Raw genomic sequence first — 20764 nt, 5'->3', positions numbered from 1 at the left:
CAAATAATAGTAATTATAAAAAAAATTTAGGCTCTGTCTACAGCTCTTCACTTCAGAGACATCACCAGAGTCACCCTTTATGATCCATTCATGGTAATATAGGCTTTGTCTATCCTGCTTTTTCAAACTCTCACAGCCTCTGTTCATTACCCGGTTCCAAAGCTACTTCCACATTTTTAAGCATTTGTTATAACAACACCCTACTTCTGGGTACCAATTTGTCTCATTTGTGCTGCTGTAACAAAATACCACAGACTGGGTCATTTATAAACAATAGAAATTTATTTCTCATACTTCTGAGGGCTGGGGAGTCTAAGACCAAAATGCCAATAAGTTTGGTGTCTGGTGAGGGCTGCTGTCTGCCTTGTTGCTACATCCTCTGGAGGGGACAAATGCCGTATTCTCACATGGTAGAAGGGACAGAAAGGATTGAACAAACTCCCTTGAGCCTTTCTATAAAGGCCCTAATTCTGTCCATGAGAGCTCTGCCATATGACTCAATCAACTCATAAAGGCCCTACCTCTTAATACTATCACATTGGCAATTAAGTTTCAACATGTGAATTTTGGGGGACACATTCAGACCATAGCAAATGACTTTTGTGTGGAGGGTTACCAGCTAAGCACCTCCCTATGGACAGCTTCCCGTAACTCCAAAGTCAGTTTACAGTGAATACTACTGGTGCCACCCCTCAGTGACTTCTTCGATGTCCAGTGAGACATGGCTGTGCCCTCTCTGATGTGAACTGGATCTGAGCCATGAGTCAGGCATCTTTCTATACCTTCCATTTCCCCTATACCTGCCATTCTTATATTCTTTAGTGTTCTCTTTAACTGTTACTAGCCACTCCAATCCCCTGTTACTAATTGTTTATGTTCAACTTTCCCTATTTGATTACTATGTGGTTTGTATCTCCTTACTGGACCCTGACTGATAAGCATGGTAATTTTATTTTTCTACTGTTCTAGAATTACGTCACAACTTGCATCATTTTAGAAATTTAGAGTTTGATACAATTTAAATATAAAAATGTGTTATAATAACATTTCCTTCCCTGAATAGTTATTTGTTGGTACACCAGCTAAAATTTCACCCCATTTATTAACCCAGCCCAAACTATTCACCTTTAGTTCTGTTCATAGAAGGGAATTTGACACATCAATGAAATGTCAAAGCTTTTTAAGAATTACCTTTCCTTACTTTGCTCAAGATTTCACTCCAACTTTCCTTTTATTCATCCCTCATGCCATTTATAATCTTTACCATATTCCTGAGCCAGAGTGAGGCTCTAGGTAGATGAAGAAGGAGTCTTGTACTTCTTGGTAAAAATAAAAAGTAGAATTTTTAGACAATACCAAAATCTCTCTCCAGCTGTTTGGCTTGTGCCTGCACATAATTATGAAACATACCTGAACACAGTTGACTCATATTACCCAAGAACATAATTCCATCTTATCTAAATCTCACTCTTTCCGTCAACAGACATAGAAAAGCAGAATCAAGTTTTAAGTGTACTTTCTCATTTTTTTTCCCCAAATTTAGGTGCCTTCATATCCACTGCTGCTCAGCTACTCATTTTACCTTTCTTTTTGTCTCATTTTACAATTTTTAAATTGTTCCTAACAATATTATCGCTGATTATCAAATGATGCATACTTTTATGCTTCAAACACAAATTATTTTCAAGGTTTTGTTTCTAAAACTTAATTCCCAAACACAATCACTGATATTTTTACAATAGCTACTCTAAATTCCCAAAGCAAAACTATTTATTAATGAGGCATTTCATTCTTTTAGAGGTTTAGAAATTTTGATTAGCTCTAAATTTAGTCATATTCAAAACTATTTCCATCTAGTTAAGGATAAAATGGAGGATAATTTGATAATTATTTGCAGCTGGATCATAAATGGAGCTCATGTTATTTATTTTTTAAAAAGGCAGAATTGCTGCTTTAGGATATTAATAACTAATCTTGGCTCCAACACTTATTAGCTGTGTGGCCTTAGACAAGTCATTTAACCTTTTTAAGCTTCAAATTCTATCTCTGGAAAATGGAGCTATTAATACTAGAATTTTAAGTATTTGGCACAGATCCTGGCCTTTAACAGCAAATTGATAATTTGTAGCTAATAATGATAATAATAATGAACAAGCTTAAATACATTTATTGCATTTTGTTGTATTGTTTTTACTTGGATAAGTCTTTTGTCTTATTTGTTTTTAAAGTTAACTATTCCTCTATTCCTTTACAAAAAGTTAGTAAAATTATATCACCTCCTTCATACAATTCATAGTTTCAGCTAAATTAAAGATTTAAACGTGGAACCATAAAACAGAAGAAAATATGGATTAAACATCTAATCCAGTGTAATAGTGAGTAGACATCTTCATAAGTACATCTTCATAAGTACATCTTCATAAGTGTGCAAACAAAGGGAGAATCCATACAGGGAAAAACTAATGACTTGAGTATATAAAAATGTAAAAACTCCTAAATCTAAAATAATTAAGCAAAAATAAATAGGAGAATATGAAAAATGGGGAAAATCTTTGCAACATAAACATCAGAGAATGCGATAATACTCAATATATAATAAACCTTATATAGGCATAGAAAACGATATGCACTTCAATACAAAAATGGGCAAAGGACATTAAAAGGAAATACATGACAGGAGAAAAATTACAAGAGCCAAACTAAATAAAAATTTCAGCCTCACTAGATATAAAATAACTGTAAAACAATGAGATGGTATTTTCTTCCCTTTAACATTAGGAAGATGTAAAACTAGGAATATACAATGCTGATAAAGATAAAAGAAAACTAACACACTCATTTTATGTATCAGTTATCTATTGCTTTATTTTTTAATTGTGTAACAAATTACTTCAAAGCATAGTAACTTAAAACAGCAAATACTTATTATTTCATAGTTTTGGTAGGCCAGGAACCTGGAGTGACTTACTTGGGTAGTTCTAACTCAAAGTTACTTGTGAGACTAACTCAGGTTGCAAACATCTGAGGCTTGACCAAGGCTGGAAGATCTAACTCTAAGCATACTTACTTGCTGTAGCCCAGAGGCATTAGTTCCTTTGCCATGTGGGCCTGCACAACATGAGCTAGACAAAAGAGTGAGAGAGAACAAAAGAGCAAAACAGAAGCTGAAGTGCCCCTTATAACCTCATCTCGGAAGTGGCATCCACCACTTCTGCCAAATTCTTTGGATGACATAGTGGAAGAGGAAGTGCCCAAAAGGTAGGGCCATGATGTGACTGAATACTCTGCTACCCATTACAGAAGCAAAGACCACAAATATAACAACGACAAAAATGCAGTAATGGGCTTTGCTTCCTGGAGTTGACAGTATGGGAGGGGCTACACAAAGGTATGAATACAAGGAAGCAGGGAACTTTGGGGACCATCAAAGAGAGTGGCACAATATTCCTGCAGGTCAGTTTGACAACATTTATCAAAATCCTTAAAAAATGCATATTCCTTATGACTCAGAAATTTCACTTACAGCAACTTACCCCAAGAAATTAATCAATAGTTTGCACCAAAATGTATCTTTAAGGATGTCCATTATAGTACTACTTAGAATGGTGAATATTGAAAACAGGTTAAGAAATCAACAATGAGATTGTATGAATATATTGTGGCATGTCTTTATTATGAATACCAAATGTTGGCATCACAAATAATGGAGAATAATTTATGATGATTAAGAAAAATTGTAATGTTGTTAATTGAGAAAAATCGGGTAAGAAAACAATATTTTATTTATTACATTTATTTACGTTGTACATAAACATGTATAGAGACAAAACTGGAAGTTTATATGTGAAATGGGTGGTGGAAGTATGGATAATTATTTTCTTCGGTTTTTACTACATTTTCTAAGTTTCTATAAAAAGCATGTATAATAATAAGAAAAAAGAGACCCTCTTCAAAAACATGCCTGATCATTGTATTGACCAAGAGTAGGTAGAGTATCTGGAGTTTAAAATTCCAGGTGAAATTCTGCAGACTTGCCTGCCATACTTCCCTTGAGGACATAAGCACTCCTGTGGAGGTCCAAAGTTAGGTGAAACATAGCCTTTCTAACAGACATGAAGGGAACCCCTTGGGAGTGATGGAGATGATCCATCTCCTCCATTTATGGGAAAAAATCTCATAAATGGATGGGGTTCTGTTTAGCAACAGAGAGTTACAGTTGCATCCTGAGAGTGAATTTGGTAAATGTGAAATTCCGATCATGTTCTTACTCAATCTTTAGTGGGAAAACTTCTCTGTTATGGAAGTTGAACTTACCCAAGGTCACAAAGCCAGTAAATAGCATAGCTGGAATTTAAAACCAGGATAGGACTGTAGGTTGTTAACCAGTATGTGCTATTTGAAGTTGTTGAAATGGGAATTATGTGATTAGAGATGGGCTTTGTTAAAATTTATCTTCTGGTGGTAAAAAATAGGTTAGAATGTGAAGAATGCATTATTAGCCAAAGAGCTGATAGACTTGGAAAATAATGAGGGCTTAAGATATTAGAGGTCCGTTTAGGGTGATGCACTGGTGAAGTTGAAGGGAAGAAAAGTTGAAAGGAGAAAAAGTTGAAAGATTAGGTTTTTGACTTTCTAGAAGAAAAATTTGAGTTTCCGATTTTGGAGGAAGGAATTGTCTGTATTGGTGGTCTGATGACTGAACCTGTGGGTGCCTCATTGGAGGTCAAGATCACCTGGTCTTAGAGTAGATAACACTGAATAACTGTGGTATTAAAGTATTAGACTGGATATTACCTGGGAAAGGAATGGTTTAGGATGACTCCAAAGGGAAAATTCCAGGACAATTTGTAAATGTCTCCAAATGCATGATGGGAGGATGAATAATAGCTCTGGTCACTTTGTGTTATTTATATATGTCTGCCACCTTTGCCAAACTTTCAACTCCAGGAAGCAAAGCCCATTACTGCATTTTTGTCATTGTTGTACTTTTGGTCTTTGCTTCTGCAGTGTCTAGCAGAATGTTCAGCCACATCATGGCCCTACCTTTTGGGCACTTCCTCTTCCATTTCACTGGATATATTATATATTGAAGTTTCCCATATTCCATGTACATCTTCTTTCTAGTATTAGGGGAATGTACCTCAGAAATGAACTTACATAAAATGTCTTTATTTCTATTAGAGGATGAAGCTACTATAACATGAAGCTACCATAACAATATAAGGGATTTACAGTTGCCAGAATTTGAGCCATGCTGCTGTTACTTATGGTCTTGGAATGTGTCTACTGTTTGTTTTCTACTGTTTGTCTTGCTTTTTAGAAGTCGATTCTTTTAATGTTCTGATACTGTGGAACATATTTGGTATTGTTTTCTCTCATATTGAAAACACAGTGGTCTTTTGTTGCTGAATTTGGGCTTTGATGTTTTTAGCAGAACCAATATGAAATAATCTGCTTCTCCATTACCCATCACATTCTTTTCAGTTGAATTGTCTTGAATGTACCTAAGACAATAAGAACTGACATAAGAAAACAAAAAGTAACATAATGCAATAAAGATGAATAAGATTAAAGGTAAAATGAAAATCCTAATTTTTTTTGGATTAAACTTCTTTTTGCTAATGTTTTGGATTAGCTTAGTGATTCAAAAATCTCGTTCCAAAATTATCTGAATAGTGTGTGCAATAATATCACTATTTTCAATTTCTTTAAAGTATTAATTTTTATAATATGCGATAAAAATTAATATTAGAAAAAATACATTAATGGGCCAGGCGCGGTGGCTCATGCCTGTAATCCCAGCACTTTGGGAGGCCGAGGTGGGCAGATCACAAGGTCAGGAGATCGAGACCATCCTGGCTAACACGGTGAAACCCTGTCTCTACTAAAAATACAAAAAATTAGCCAGGCGTGGTGGCATATGCCTGTAGTCCCAGCTACTCGGGAGGCTGAGGCAGGAGAATGGCATGAACCCAGGAAGCGGAGCTTGCAGTGAGCCGAGATTGCACCACTGCATTCCAGCATGGGCTACAGAGCGAGACTCCATCTCAAAAAAAAAAAAAATACATTAATGAGAAGTAAAGTCTCTTCCTCTCAAACTTTATTCCCATTTCCCAGAGTTATTCACTAATAGCATGCTTTTTGTATATTCCCAAAAATTATTATGCATATATTTGCATGTATAAAATGATTCTCATTTAAATAATAAAAGGGATACATGTTAGTTTTGAAAAAAATTTTCAATAATTCAGAACTGAATAAAATGATAAGCAAAAGTACCTCTTGAACCTATTCCTCCAATATTATTATTGATAGTGTATCATTCTTGATTAGAGACACATACCCACACCCACACAAAACTATACATATTACTTTGTGATATACTTTTTCCCACTTGATAAGATGTATTTGTGGCCATCTTTTCATACTGACATCCACATCTATGCTATCTTTTAAAATTTTCCTGGTGATGCACATTTAGGCAAATATGAGCAATGCTGCAATGGACATCTTTGTAATATGTATATGTTTGTTAAGTCAAAGGGAGTACACATCTAAAATTTTACACATTTAATGCTCATGGTGATAGATATTCCAATTACACTGATTTGATCATTATACATTGTATACAGGTATCAAAATAACAGCATGTGCCCCCAAAATATGTACAACTAATATATGTCAGGACATAAAAAGAAAAATAATTACATAGTTAATACACTCATTGATTAATTCAACAAAGATTTGTTTTATTATGCTTTTAATTTGCATAAAATAATCTCTTCTTGACATTTTCTGGATCCCTTTTCTCTTCTTTTTCTTTGCTGGTTTAAAGCTATACTTTATATACTGTTTTAATTGAAAAATTTCTTACATTAAAATAGATTTCTTGAATATAATTCACATAACATATAATTCACCTATTTTTAGGTGTTTAATGTTTTTCAGTATATTCACGATTTTTGCATCCGTCACCACAATCTAATTTTAAAACATTTTCGTTCTCCCTAAAAGACATCTTGGACTTGACATCTATTCCTCTGCCTCTGTCTGCCCGCCTCCCCAGCCTTTATAGATTTGCCCATTCTGGACATTTCATATAAATGGACTCATATAATATGTGGCCTACTGTGATTGATTTTTTTCACTTAGCATAATGTTTTCTGAGTTAATTCAGGTTGTAGCATGCTTTAGTAATTCATTTCTTTTTGTTGCCAAATAATATTCCATTGTATGGAAACATCACCTTTTTAATACATTTATCAGTTAATGGCATTTTATTTCTTTCCACTATTTTGGCTACTATGAATAATGTTGCTATGAATATTGGTATGGAAGTTTTTGTGTGTATGTATGTTTTCATTTTTCATAGGTATATAACTAGGAGTGGAATTGCTGGGCCGTATGAAAAGTCCACATTTAACATTTTGAGGACTAGCCAAGCTGTTTCCCCTTCACATTCTTGCCAACTCTTGTTATTCTCTGTCATTTTGATTTTGTTTTTCTTTGTCATCCTAGTGGGTAAAAAGTATTACCTTACTGAGGTTTTGATTTGTATTTTTCTGATCACTAGTGATGTTGAATATCTTTTCTTAGCAAATGGTTTATCTTCTTTGGAGAAATGTCTACTAGATCCTTTTCTTGTATTTTCATCGGGTTATTTGTCTTTTCATTAGTGAGTATAAGAGTTCTTTATATATTCCAGATACACATCCCTTATCAGACCTATAATCTGAAAATATTTTGTCTCATTCTGTAGGTTGTTTTTTTACTTTCTTCATGGCATTGTTTGCAACACAATTTTTTAAAAATTTTGATGTAGTACAATTTATTTTTCTTTTGTCACTTGTGCTTTTGGTGGAGCCCCTTACCTTAAAATAATAGACTTTACTTTTTAGAGCACTTTTAGATTCACAGCAAAATTAAGCATAAAGTAAGGCAGTTCCCATATATCCCTTACCCTCACAAATGTACACCCTCCCCTAGTATCTTCATCTCACACCAGAGTGGTACATTTGTTATAACTGGTGAACCTACACTGACACATCATTACCAAAGTCTACAGGTTACATTAAGGCTCACTTTTGGTGGTGCACATTCTATGGGTTTGAACTAATGTATAATGACATATATCCACCATTATAGTATTATACAGAATAGTTTAACAGCCCTAAAAACCCTCTGTGCTGCACGTCTTCTGTCCTCACTGGCAACCACTGATCTTTTTGCTGTCTCCAGAGTTGTAGCCTTTTCAGATCGACTCTTATGTTTAGTAATATGCATTTAAGGTTTTGGAGTGCCTCACATTTTAAACATACATATTTACATTACATCTTCTAACAAAGTTAAAAGTTATTTAGTATCTATTTTTCCAGAACAATGTAAGTACCTTAGTGCCGTTTCTCTACTCAACACTCCCTCATAATTTTTGTTTTTTAGAATTTTAGCTCCACACTTTAAAAAGTGCAGTAAGGAGTTTATATTATAATTGAGGCAGCATATTTAGGCTTGACAGACTATTAATCAAGCTGGATGACACTGAAGCATGTTGCTTAACTTCCCTGTGTCTGCTTCCTCATCTTTAAAATGAGCACAATAATAGTACCCATTGCAAAGTGCTGTTGCAAGGATTAAAATGCAAATTTATTGTTATGTGGGAAATTACTTCCATGTAAGGGTAGCCTCCAAGTGTATTACTTGGTAAGCTAGGCTAGAGCCCATGGTACACAAAAGTGCACAAAACAAATTAAAATTTTCACATCATGACTTATTAAATCAATTTAAAACATAAAACAAAATGTAAGGAAAGAGAGATGGGCCGGATTAACATAACTGAAATATTACACGAGTGGGTTGAAGGGTCATATTAGCCTGAATCTGGTCTGCAGTATTTATATATCCCCCCCTTTATGCTACATTACTCTTTCCTGCTGCTGGTGTAGTTACAAGAACCAGAATGAAAACTTGACCGGGGAGCCCAACAAATAAAAGATGCGTGGGACAATGACACACACTTGTTCCGTGAGGGCTGTGTGTGAGTCACTTGACCAGTAGCTGTGCTCCCCAGTTAGCCTGATGAGCAGTGACAGATTTTATCCTTCAGAAGATCCCAAATGAGAGTCAACAATGGGTGGCTAATTAAAGACCTCATGATTTTCGTGTGCCTCATGTGCTTCATTTGTATTTAGTATATCATTAATATTTTTTGCTTTGTTTGTTATTTAGTGATTCATGAATATTAAATATCTATTTTGTCTTTCTAGCCCTTTCTATGTTCATAGACATATGCTCTACCTTGTGTCTGACACTTCTCAGGTTACTATCTTATCTATGCTTAATGCAGCTCTTTCATTCATTCAATTTGTTTTCTTATCTTCTAGAGCAGAATTGAATACTTCCAAACAATACAGCAACTACACAATTACATACATGTGTTGTGTATACAATAATACCTTGTATCTAGAAATAACTCAATAAATTTAGCTATTATTATTAATGTATAAGATTGTTTTACTGTTTTAATCTTATCTAAGGGTGAAAATGAGCTATGTAGTGAAACTTAATCAGATTAAACAACTAATTAGAAACGTTAATATTAAAGTCATTTGGCTTGATTCTGTTATGAAATTGATAATAAAGTACAAAGTTTATTAGCCAGACCTTTTTACTATTAATGTAATTTATCCTCCTCTCTTTCCAGTTGGATGGATTTTTGGCTATTGTTTATAAGGGTGATACTACTTGTTATTTTTTCCTTTCTTACAGGCTTATCCTCAGTTTGTTCTGACCTACCTAGAGGAGCTAAATGCACAAGTAGATGTGACCCAGACAGAGTATCACATTCACCATGGTGCCTGGACCACAGCTCATCAGGAACATGGCAGAAACTTAGCAGAAGAGGTCAGTGTAGGGAGCCAGAGGCAAGACAGAAATAGCTCTCTAAAATATATTTTGAAAAAAGAAAAAATGTTCAAGTTGTTTTCAGGAGGCAAGCACAAATTCACAACTTAATGTTATGGATAGTTTAAAATAATACACATAATATAATATCTATATGCACATTTATATTTATGTAAACATATAACTTTATATAAACATTTTATTAAACAGATGTGATACCCTTTTTTTCTTAGGATTGCCTTCTTTTCTTTTGGCCACGTACAAAGGACTTATGTGTTGTAGAAACACTGAAGGCACCATGAAAACTGCAGTGTTATATTTTTGGCATGTATAGTTTAGATATTTCCATTCAATGAAAATTAGCTACATGATTCCTATATTTCATTTATTAGGTTCTGCAAGAAAGTGCCAGCAACCTTGGTCTGAAGCAACTGCCAGAACCCTCAGACACCCATTTAATGCCAGAAGGTTCTCTTGAGGAGACGGGGGAGCTGACAGTAGCACTGGTGAGGAAACTGGAAGAGAAACATCCTAAGGCTTCTGCTCAGAGGTAGGGTACTGACAGAACTGAGCTTTATTGCTCAATGACATTCGATATTTTCCTTCAGTTTCATGTAAGATTGATTTCTTGAAGATAATTGAAATATCTCAAAAGCCCTTTGGCTTTCAAGCGTAGTAGTTTTTGGGTCACATTTGATGAAGAAAGGTGACATTTATGTGTATTTTGTTGAAGATTGATGTATGTTATTGTTTATTATTATACTTAGGATGGGTTGCTGTCCTGGGATTTCACTAAAATGCTATGAAATAACTATCATTAACATAATTAAGCTAAGGTACTACAGACCATACACCCAATTGTTAAAATACCAAGCTATGTTGAAGAAGACTATTCCATGGGCAATCCTTTTTATTTTCCATGAGAATATTATATTTGGACTCAAGGTTAAGTGCACAAAAGATGGTCTTAACCAGTGATAACAAATCAACCCTATTTCCCTTCCTAGAATAAAAATAACATCATTGATATTGCTAACCAACTGAAAAATTATCCTTGGTTAAGAAATGGACACAATTTCTCTGATCCTCTTTATTTCATTAGAAACTGAAGTTTATTATTATTTTGTTGGGGTTGATGTTGTAAATCATAAACTGACTTTATAAATTGCAATTTTAATCTAAAACTGTTTGAAATTACTGTTGACTGAAATACTCTTAAAGGAGCCATATAATTCTTATCATATTCACTAAAGTTTAAGGAAATTCCTAAATTTATTTGATTTAATTAATTAATTTATTTATTGTAAAAATGGGGTCTAGCTATATTGCCCAGGCTGCTCTTGAACTCCTGGCCTCAAGCAATCCTCCCACTTCGCTCTCCCAAAGTGATGGGATTATCAGCATGAGCCACCACACCCAGCCTTCCTAAATTTAAATACATGGACTGTAGATAGAAATGTCACTTGCATGAAAAGAGACAAAAAACTTATTTCAATTAAAAGCTATTTTATTCCATGGTGTATATGTGCCACATTTTCTTAATCCAGTCTATGGTTGTTGGACATTTGGGTTGATTCCAAGTCTTTGCTATTGTGAATAGTGCTGCAATAAACATACCTGTGCATGTGTCTTTATAGCAGCGTGATTTATAATCCTTTGGGTATGTACCCAATAATGGGATGGCTGGGTCAAATGGTATTTCTAGTTCTAGATCCCTGAGGAATTGCCACACTGACTTCCACAATGGTTGAACTAGTTTACAGTCCCACCAGCAGTGTAAAAGTGTTCTTATTTCTCCACATCCTCTCCAGCACCTGTTGTTTCCTGACTTTTTAATGATCGCCATTCTAACTGGTGTGAGATGGTATCTCATTGTGGTTTTGATTTGCATTTCTCTGATGGCCACTGATGATGAGCATTTTTTGATGTGTTTTTTGGCTGCATAAATGTATTCTTTTGAGAAGTGTCTGTTCATATCCTTTGCCCACTTTTTGATGGGGTTGGAACAATGAGAACACATGGACACAGGAAGGGGAACATCACACTCTGGGGACTGTTGTGGGGTGGGGGGAGGGGGGAGGGATAACATTAGGAGATATACCTAATGCTAAATGACGAGTTAATGGGTGCAGCACACCAACATGGCACATGTATACATATGTAACAAACCTGCACATTGTGCACATGTACCCTAAAACTTAAAGTATAATAATAATAAAATTTTAAAAAAGAAAAAAAAGAAAAAAAAGCTATTTTATATTACTAAATTACATATTCCACCTGGAATTTTTACAGGAAGGGAACGTTTTTTCTGATAGATAGCAAAAGTGATTCTCCAATTTATTATTTATTTAATTTATTATTTAAACCTCAAGTCTTTTGTACTTGTTGTTTTGAAGATAGAACACAAAGTAACAAATTTAGTACCTTGCTGTATCATAATATGGGGTGTCAGAACGGTACAGAAACTTAAGTTCCAGGTATTCTTTTTCCTGCTAGTTATTTTTTAATCACATACAAGATTCTCAGCTCCCTGATGCTCCATCTACAATAGGACCACAGGCTGAGCAGCCGGATAGTCAAGCCCCTCTCCACTATTCTCACATCACTAGAATGTAATTCCCTTGGGGAAAGTCCTTGTCTGATGTTTTCATCTAAAATAGAAACTCAAGAAACACTGGGACACTTGAGAACTCGTAATACCGCTCTATGAGGCTGTTTCTGGCCTCTCTAGGCTTATTTGGCAGCCATTTCTACTCAGCCATTTTTGAGGGAAAGCTGGCGCTTGTCATTATCTTGGGACCTTATTATCCTGGGTTTTCATCCTTATCCTGGGCTTTACTCAAGAAAGAGGCACAGTTTACTTCTGCTCTCAGATTCCTGAAACATATATGGGGTTTGTGTATTTGCCCCATGCTGTACCTGGCCCTCATGATAACTCACCTGCTTTGCCTATTTCACCCTTCCCATGCTTAAAAATATTTTCTCTAAGGGTATAGGGCACTGGGTAGCTTAGGGATTTGGCTTTTGCATTCTGTTGTTGCTTCTTCCCTGAGGCAATGCAATCTGATGACTGCACTTTGGAAGAAAGGAATATAGTATTAGAAAAAGTGACGCCAAAAAAGACAGCGCAGTTAATGTCAGCTGCCATACCAGAAGACCTATCTGAGGTTGTTAGAATTAACTGAGATGTCTTTAAGTTTCCAGGAAAGTAGTAAGCATTCAAGTGTTAGTTGTGAAAATGTTCTGAAAACAAGTAGAGATAGAAAAGAATTTTTAATAGGGGTTTTACTTAGATTTATGCTTTTTTAGTCAACAGGAATTGACTAGTAAATCTTTTTGGGATTTGATTTCATAAGAAATCTTCCAGAGGCATTTTCTTAGTGAGCATTTCTCAGGGTTTATGTGATAGGCTCCATACGTGATCGGCTCCAGGTGCCTTCTTCTTCTTCTTTTTTTTCTTAAGGCAGGGATTTATCTACATTCTTCCCCCTCTGCCTCCACAATTTACTACAGTAGATGTAATTTCAGTTTCTTTACCTCTTTAAACACACACACACACACACAATCTAAAATGATCACTGAAAAGTAGGCATAGAAGTGTGCTTCTCTCCTTGCTTCGATAAAATAAGTTGTGTGTACATTGAATTCTAAGTTTGGTCCAAAGTAAAGTAAATGCCATATTCTGGCATTAAGTGTCTGGAATGTGTTTGTTTACATTAGTTTATCCAAAGGAGTCCTTTACCCTTTTTTAAATGGAGTAGGGGGTGGAGAAGGACTGGGACAGCCAACAAAGCATGCTGACCCAGCTTGTCACCCAGTGACCTGTGAGAAGGAAATAATGAACTGTGAGTAGCTGTCATCTTAACTGTTTCTGACAGTTTGCCTTTGGGCACATCTGTGTTAGTTGCATTGGAAAGGCCTTTGTTCTTTTCCCACTAGTGACTTTGTGGAGTGCTGAAGGGTTTGCTAGCTACTGTACTCCTAACCAGCCCTTCCTTCCCAGGGAAGCGAGCAGCTGCCAGGGATCGCACTGACATTTCTCTTCATGACTCAACTTGGCATGGACTTCATTCTTTTAAAAGAAAACATAGATTTAAAAGCCATTTGACTTTTTTTCAATTAAAATGTGCTTTAATATCTCATGAGCTTTGGAACTAATAAAACAGCAAACTTATAAAAATACATTTAGTATTATCCTAATTTTATATAGACAAATAACTAACCAAATGGGCGGGTGATTTGAAGAAAATATAACAAATTATTGAAAGTTTTTGTCACATTTTTAAATATTTAGTTATTTCCCAAATTTTAATAATTAAATGTTTGCATTAGGACAAAAATCAATACAAGTTATGAAGAGCATTTTAAATGTAGACACTTGATACTTTGCTATTAAGAATATTTGGACTAAAATTGATAATTGTCATGTTACATTTTGTTTCACATTTTCCACTGATACTTTTAAAATAAACTTTTATCTAAAAATATAAACTTCAGAATATTGCAGTATTTAAATTTTAAAGTCTATCTTGCACATAAAATTATTGTAATCACTAGGAGATATGATTTGATAAGAAACAGGTGTTTCTGTCCCTTGGTTTTTCTGAAGTATAACTACCAATTCAATGGTAACAAAGGCAGAACATTTTGAATAATGCATATCATGCCCTAAGATAATTGTTTACATTAAAATGAAAGCTTCATTTATAAAATATAATTCCTGAGTGAGTTTTAAAGCCTTATTTACATTTTTACAATTGCTGTAAAGTCAGTCCTTCTGCTATAATTATGTCCAGCTACAATTGGCATGAAATAAAATTGAGCGTTTGGTTCTCAATTTATTATGTTTACCATTTTAGGAGAATATAAATTCAAACTCTACTGCATTGGTCAATTTTTATAAGGCCCTTTTTTCCCCTGATAAAATAGGAGAAATGAAGCTTGAAAGAAGTGACATGCTTTTTTCTTTATTCAAGGTTCTTTTCTCTTAGTAACAGATTTGAGATGCACCAGCTAAAGGAACTGTTATAGTCTCCTGCTTTTCAAAGAAAGGCAAATCAATAGCAATGAGAAACTCTTTAAGCAGACAAATAATGATCATGTCTATATAATTATAAATTGTAAAAACCCACATATTAAAAATTGAATTACATTCTGATTTTCTTGAGTATACAGTAGCATAAGAGTACTATATTAAATCATTTATGTAGCTTTGCATATAGTTGGTGGTAATTTGTAACTCTTATTTGCTTTGAACTTTCTCCTCCTTCTGCTGAGTAAATATTAACACAATTTTTGTAGAGCTAGTGAACTCACAGGTCAGTTTTGACAATAGTCAGGCTGTCTTTTTAAGAAAAGTGAATTGTTTAAATTGCTACAGCTCCATTTCTTATTTCTAGAACTATTACCAATAAAGGTAAATGTTAATATAATAATTGCTTTTGATAGTCATTAAATCCAACTATACTTTCTAGGAATAAAATCCCAGGCTTTATTACATTACTTTTCTTAGCTATTGAAGATACTCAGCTTTAAGCATTTGCCTTTAGCTGTTTTATGCTGTATTTGGAAGCGTGGCATTATATTTAAGAACATGAAATTATTGTATATTTCAAGATTGTGAAGGTATAATTTTGTTTTTTGATTAGAAAAGTCAAATATCCTGATATTGGCTGATACTGTTGCCTGTTTAGGTTTCGGTATATTTTAAAAATTAATTCCTGTATGTTCTCTGTGAATTAAAATAAAGTGAACAAATAATGTAATTGCATCTGTTTCTTTGAAACAAAGTCAAAAATCAAGCATTCTAAAAGATTAGGCTTATGTCTATAAATGTGCATTAATTCAGAAATTCTCAAAGATTTTCAAGTAAGCATTTTATGATTATTTTTTGTTTTTGTTTGCTGCTGTGAGGTACCCAAACCTTCAACTATGCCACATAGTTTCCATTTTCACGATGTACTATTTATTTTTCTGTTGTATTCAGTTTTGTCTATAGAACTATTTAAGGCATGAATGCGATGCTCTACTCTTACCTTCTTCAAACTTGCAGCCCCCAAACTAGAGTGTCTAGTATTATAATAGTGAAAATAGTAGGTAATGATTTCTGGATTGGATAATATGGATGAAAAAAGAGGAGACAGGTGGTAGAGATAATAAATTACATTTAGATGGACTTGGATGAGACCAGAGTGCAAGCTGTCAAAATGATCTATAGATTAGCTTCCTACCTTGTCTATCTCTTTCAACCTTTGTCCTCCTACAATTTATTCTCCAGTTAAGGGCCAGAATGATCCTTTTATATTCATAATTCAGATCATGGGAATCCTCAGTTCCATATCTTTCAATGGCTTCTTATTTTCTCTAGAGTGAAAACAAAGTCTATGCTAAATGTCCCACTTTACCAGTCCCATCATATCTCTGATCACCATTTCCCTCCCTTCCTCTGCTCTAGTCACCCTGGCTTCATGGCCTTTTCTGAGATACAAGGCATACATGCTCATACCCTATCATTCTCTTTCCCTGCTTTATTTTTCTTCACGATACTTATTGCTACCTGTCATATACATATATATTTACTGTCTGAATTGCCCAATTAGAATGTAAGCTTCACTTCAGCAGGAAGTGTTTTCTTTACATTTGTACCTCCAGGGCCGGAACATACCCGGTACATGGTGGGTACTCAATACAAAGTCGCTGAATGAATGAACAAAGAAATGAATGAAGGGGTATGATTAATGGAATTAAGAAAATGGAGAGAGCAAATAGTCTGAGCATTTACATGTACATTTCAAGACCATCCTGTCTGCCAGCCAACTATAGCCCTATGATCTACTCGTGTGTCAATCCAAAACTGAGCCCAACTATTCCAATGGCTTTCTGGCTGAGTCAATATCATCTATATATTCTATCCTTTTTTAATGCGTAAATATTTATTGAGCATGTTCTATGTTCTAAACACTATTTTATGGTATCCTAGGCACTGGGGATTCAGTATGGGGAAGACAGGTACACTTTCTGGCCTCACAGAGCTGTCCCCACACAGAGCTGTCCCCACAGAATCTAACAGGGAAGAGAGAAATTAAACAAGTCATTACGGTAAAAGAGCATGATGGGTGTTGCTGTAGGGAGAAGGTAGTTCATCCTGAACACTCCTCCCTGGTGATATGCTTTTGAAGTACTACTTTGAATATTACACTCACAGACTTATAATTCTTCAGAGTTTACTCATTCCCTTAGTGAAATTAAGCATTAACTGTCAGACCCACTATGCTTAAGTCTCAGGATCTCCATGTACTTGATAGACCCAAGCTGATTGTACTTGGCCCATGCTAGTTTGCTTGTCTCAAACACTCCTATTCCCTTTTATCTACCTAAAACCTTACCCTCTGTATGGCCCATTTTCATTGATTTTTTTCTCAGCTTTTCTTCTCATGATGTGTACATTTAAGGATACAAATTTACTTCGAAGCATGGCTTTAGCTTCATTGCACTCATTTTACTATTTTATATTTTCATTATCATTTCCATTGTATTATATTGTTTAATCCATGGACTATTTAGGATATTTCTTAATTTCCAAATATATGAAATATTTCAGCTTTGTATTATTGACTTCTAGATTAATTTCACAGTGGTTGGAAAACATTTTTGATTTGATTTTAATTCTGATATTTGTTGAGATTTCTTTTTCTCTTTCTCTCTCTCTTTCTTTCTTTCTTTCCTTCCCTCCCTCCCTCCCTCCCTCCCTTCCTTCCTTCCTTCCTTTCTTTTCTTTCTTTCGAGATAGAATCTTGCTGTATTGCCCTGGCTAGAGTACAGTGGTGCCATCTCGGTTCACTGCAACCTCTGCCTCCCGAGTTCAAGAGATTCTTGTGCCTCAGCCTCCTGATGAATATCTGGATTACAGGCACGCACCACCATGCCTGGCTAATTTTTGTATTTTTAGTAGAGATGGGTTTTCACCATGTTGGCCAGGCTGGTCTCCAACTTCTGACCTCAAGTCATCCACCTGCCTCAGCCTCCCAAAGTACTGGAATTATAGGTATGCACCACCGTGCCCAGCCTGAAATTTGTTGAGATTTCTTTATGGCCCATCTACCATATACACATTTTTAATAAATGGTACATGTGAACTTGAGAAAATACATATTCTGAAGTTTGGGGGTGCAGTGTTCTGTATATTTCAATTAGATTAAGTTTGATACATGTGTTTTCAGATCTTGTATATACTTACTGATACTTTGTCTGCTTGTTATGTTATTTACTGAAACATGTATGGTAAAAATTCCCCACTAAATTGTGGATTTTTCTATTTCTCCTTTGAGTTTTATGAATTTTTCTTTTCTATAATTTGAGATTATTAGGTACATACAATTTTGGAATTGTTTTATCTTTCTGGTCAATTAAGCCTTACATTGTTATAAAATACTCTCACATACTCTCTCCCTTTTTAAAGTTTACTTTGTCTCATATTAAATATAGTGGTCCCAGCTTTTTGGTCAGTGTTTGCATGATAAATTTTGGTGTCCTTTTACTTTTAAACTTTATCTTTAATGCTGAGGGAGTGTTTTGTATGAAAAAGTATTTTTTAGTGCAGTATTACAATCTCTGTCTTTTAATTGAAATATTTAGTCCATCTATTCCAATAATGTAATTACTGGTATTTTGGAGTTTAAATCTAACATGTTATTATTTGATATCTATATGTTCCATTTATTCTGTGTCCTGTTTTCTCTCTTTTTTGGTCTCCTCTAAAATTTATTATTTTATGTTATTTAATTTCCTTTCTCCCAATTATCTTGATAGTTAACTTTATTTTATTATTATTTTTAGTGACTGCTGTGGAGATTATACATGCTGCCTTGACTTACTAAAGCCTAATATAAATTAGTGTTTTTACCATTTCACAAACAATTCAAGAACCTTGGAACTCTTAATCTCCATATATGCACTTTCTCTCTAAATGCTGGCATGTTTTAGTTCTATACGTATTTTTAAATTCTTTTAAAATATTTCCATAATTTATTAGGGTACAGGTGGTATTTAGTTACTTGAGTAAGTTCTTTAGTGGTGATTTGTGAGATTTTGGTGCACCCATCACGCGAGCAGTGTACACTGCACCATATTTGTAGTATTTTGTCCCTCACCCCACTCCCATCCTTCCCCCCAAGTACCCAAAGTCCATTGTATCCTTATGCCTTTGCATCCTCATAGCTTAGCTCCCACATATCAGTGAGAACATATGATGTTTGGTTTTTCCATTCCTGAGTTACTTCACTTAGAATAATAGTCTCCAATCTCACCCAGGTCACTGCAAATGCTGTTAATTCATTCCTTTTTTATGACTGAGTAGTATTCCATCATATAAATAAACCAAAGTTTCTTTATCCATTTGTTAATTTATGGGCATTTGGGTTGGTTCCACAATTCTGCAATTGCAAATTGTGCTGCTATAAACACGCATGTGCAAGAATCTTTTTCATATAATGACTTCTTTTCCTCTGGGTAGATACCCAGTAGTGCGATTGCTGGATCAAATGGTAGTTCTACTTTTAGTTCTTAAGGAATCTCCACACTGTGAAAACAGTGGAAACACTATGGAAACATAGTGATTGTACTAGTTTACATTCCCACCAGCAGTGTAGAAGTGTTCCCTGTTCACCGCATCCATGCAAACATCTGTTTTTTGATTTTTTTATTATGGCCATTCTTGCAGGAGTAAGGTGGTATTGCATTGTGGTTTTGATTTGCATTTCCATGATCATTAGTGGTGTGGAGCGTTTTTTCATATGTTTGTTGGCCATTTGTATATCTTCTTTTGAGAGTTGTTTAGGTCCTTAGCCCACTTATTGGTGGGATTGTTTGTTTTTTTCTTACTGATGTGTTTGAGTTCGTTGTAGATTCTGGATATTAATCTTTTGTCAGATGTATAGATTGTAAAGATTTTCTCTCACTCTGTGGGTTGTCTGTTTACTCTGCTGACTGTTCCTTTTGCCGTGCGAAAGCTCTTTAGTTTAATTAAGTCACAACTATTTATCTTTGTTTTTATTGCATTTGCTTTTAGGTTCTTCATCATGAAATCCTTACCTAAGCCAATGTCTAGAGGGTTTTTTTCTAATGTTATCTTCTAGAATTTTTATAATTTCACATCTGAGATTTAAGTCTTTAGTCCATTTTGAGTTGATTTTTGTATAAGATGAGAGATAAGGATCCAGTTTCATTCTCCTACATGTGGCTAGCCACTTATCCCAGCACCATTTGCTGAAAAAGGTGTCCTTTCCCCACTTCATGTTTTTGTTTGCTTTGTCTAAGATCAGTTGGCTGTAAGTATTTGGGTTTATTTCTGGGTTCTCTATTCTGTTCCATTGGTCTATGTGCCTATTTTTACACCAGTATTGTGCTGTTTTGGTGACTATGGCCTTATAGTATAGTTTACAGTCAGTGTGATGCCTCCAGATTTGTTCTTTTTGCTTAGTCTTGTTTTGGCTATACGGGCTCTTTTTTGTTTCCATATGAATTTTAGAATTGTCTTTTCTAATTCTGTGAAGAATGATGGTGGTATTTTGATGGGAATTGCATTGAATTTGTAGATTGCTTTTGGCAATATGGTCATTTTCACAATATCAGTTCTACCCATCTGTGAGGATGGGATGTGTTTCCATTTGTTTGTGTCATCTATGATTTATTTCAGCAGTGTTTTGTAGTTTTCCTTGTAGAGGTCTTTTGCCTCCTTGGTTAGGTAAATTCTTAAGTTGTTTTTTTTTTTTTTCTTTTTTCCTTTTTTCAGCTATTGTAAAAGGGGTTGAATTCTTGATTTGATTCTCTGCTTGGTCACTGTTGGTGTGTAGAAGAGCTACTG

General features: G+C 34.8%; 1 protein-coding gene across 18 annotated transcripts in view; it reads left to right on the top strand.

Moving 5' to 3' along the window:
* Window positions 1-20764, top strand: part of DCDC1 (doublecortin domain containing 1) — a 506137-nt gene that overhangs the window by 294821 nt on the left and 190552 nt on the right. For all 18 annotated transcript variants that reach the window (NR_170625.1, XR_002957144.2, XM_024448478.2 and 15 more), the window contains 2 exons: window positions 9766-9900; window positions 10293-10450. Coding sequence is in view for 16 of the 18 variants with exons in the window: in XM_024448478.2 (XP_024304246.1) it covers window positions 9766-9900; window positions 10293-10450 (293 nt within the window). In the remaining 2 variants the exon portion in view is untranslated. The remainder of the gene's footprint in view (window positions 1-9765; window positions 9901-10292; window positions 10451-20764) is intronic.

Source organism: Homo sapiens, chromosome 11 (assembly GCF_000001405.40).
Source record: "Homo sapiens chromosome 11, GRCh38.p14 Primary Assembly".
Lineage (NCBI taxonomy): Eukaryota > Metazoa > Chordata > Mammalia > Primates > Hominidae > Homo > Homo sapiens.
The sequence above is the reverse complement of the archived record's forward strand: the minus strand, read 5'-3'. Positions and strand labels throughout refer to the sequence as shown.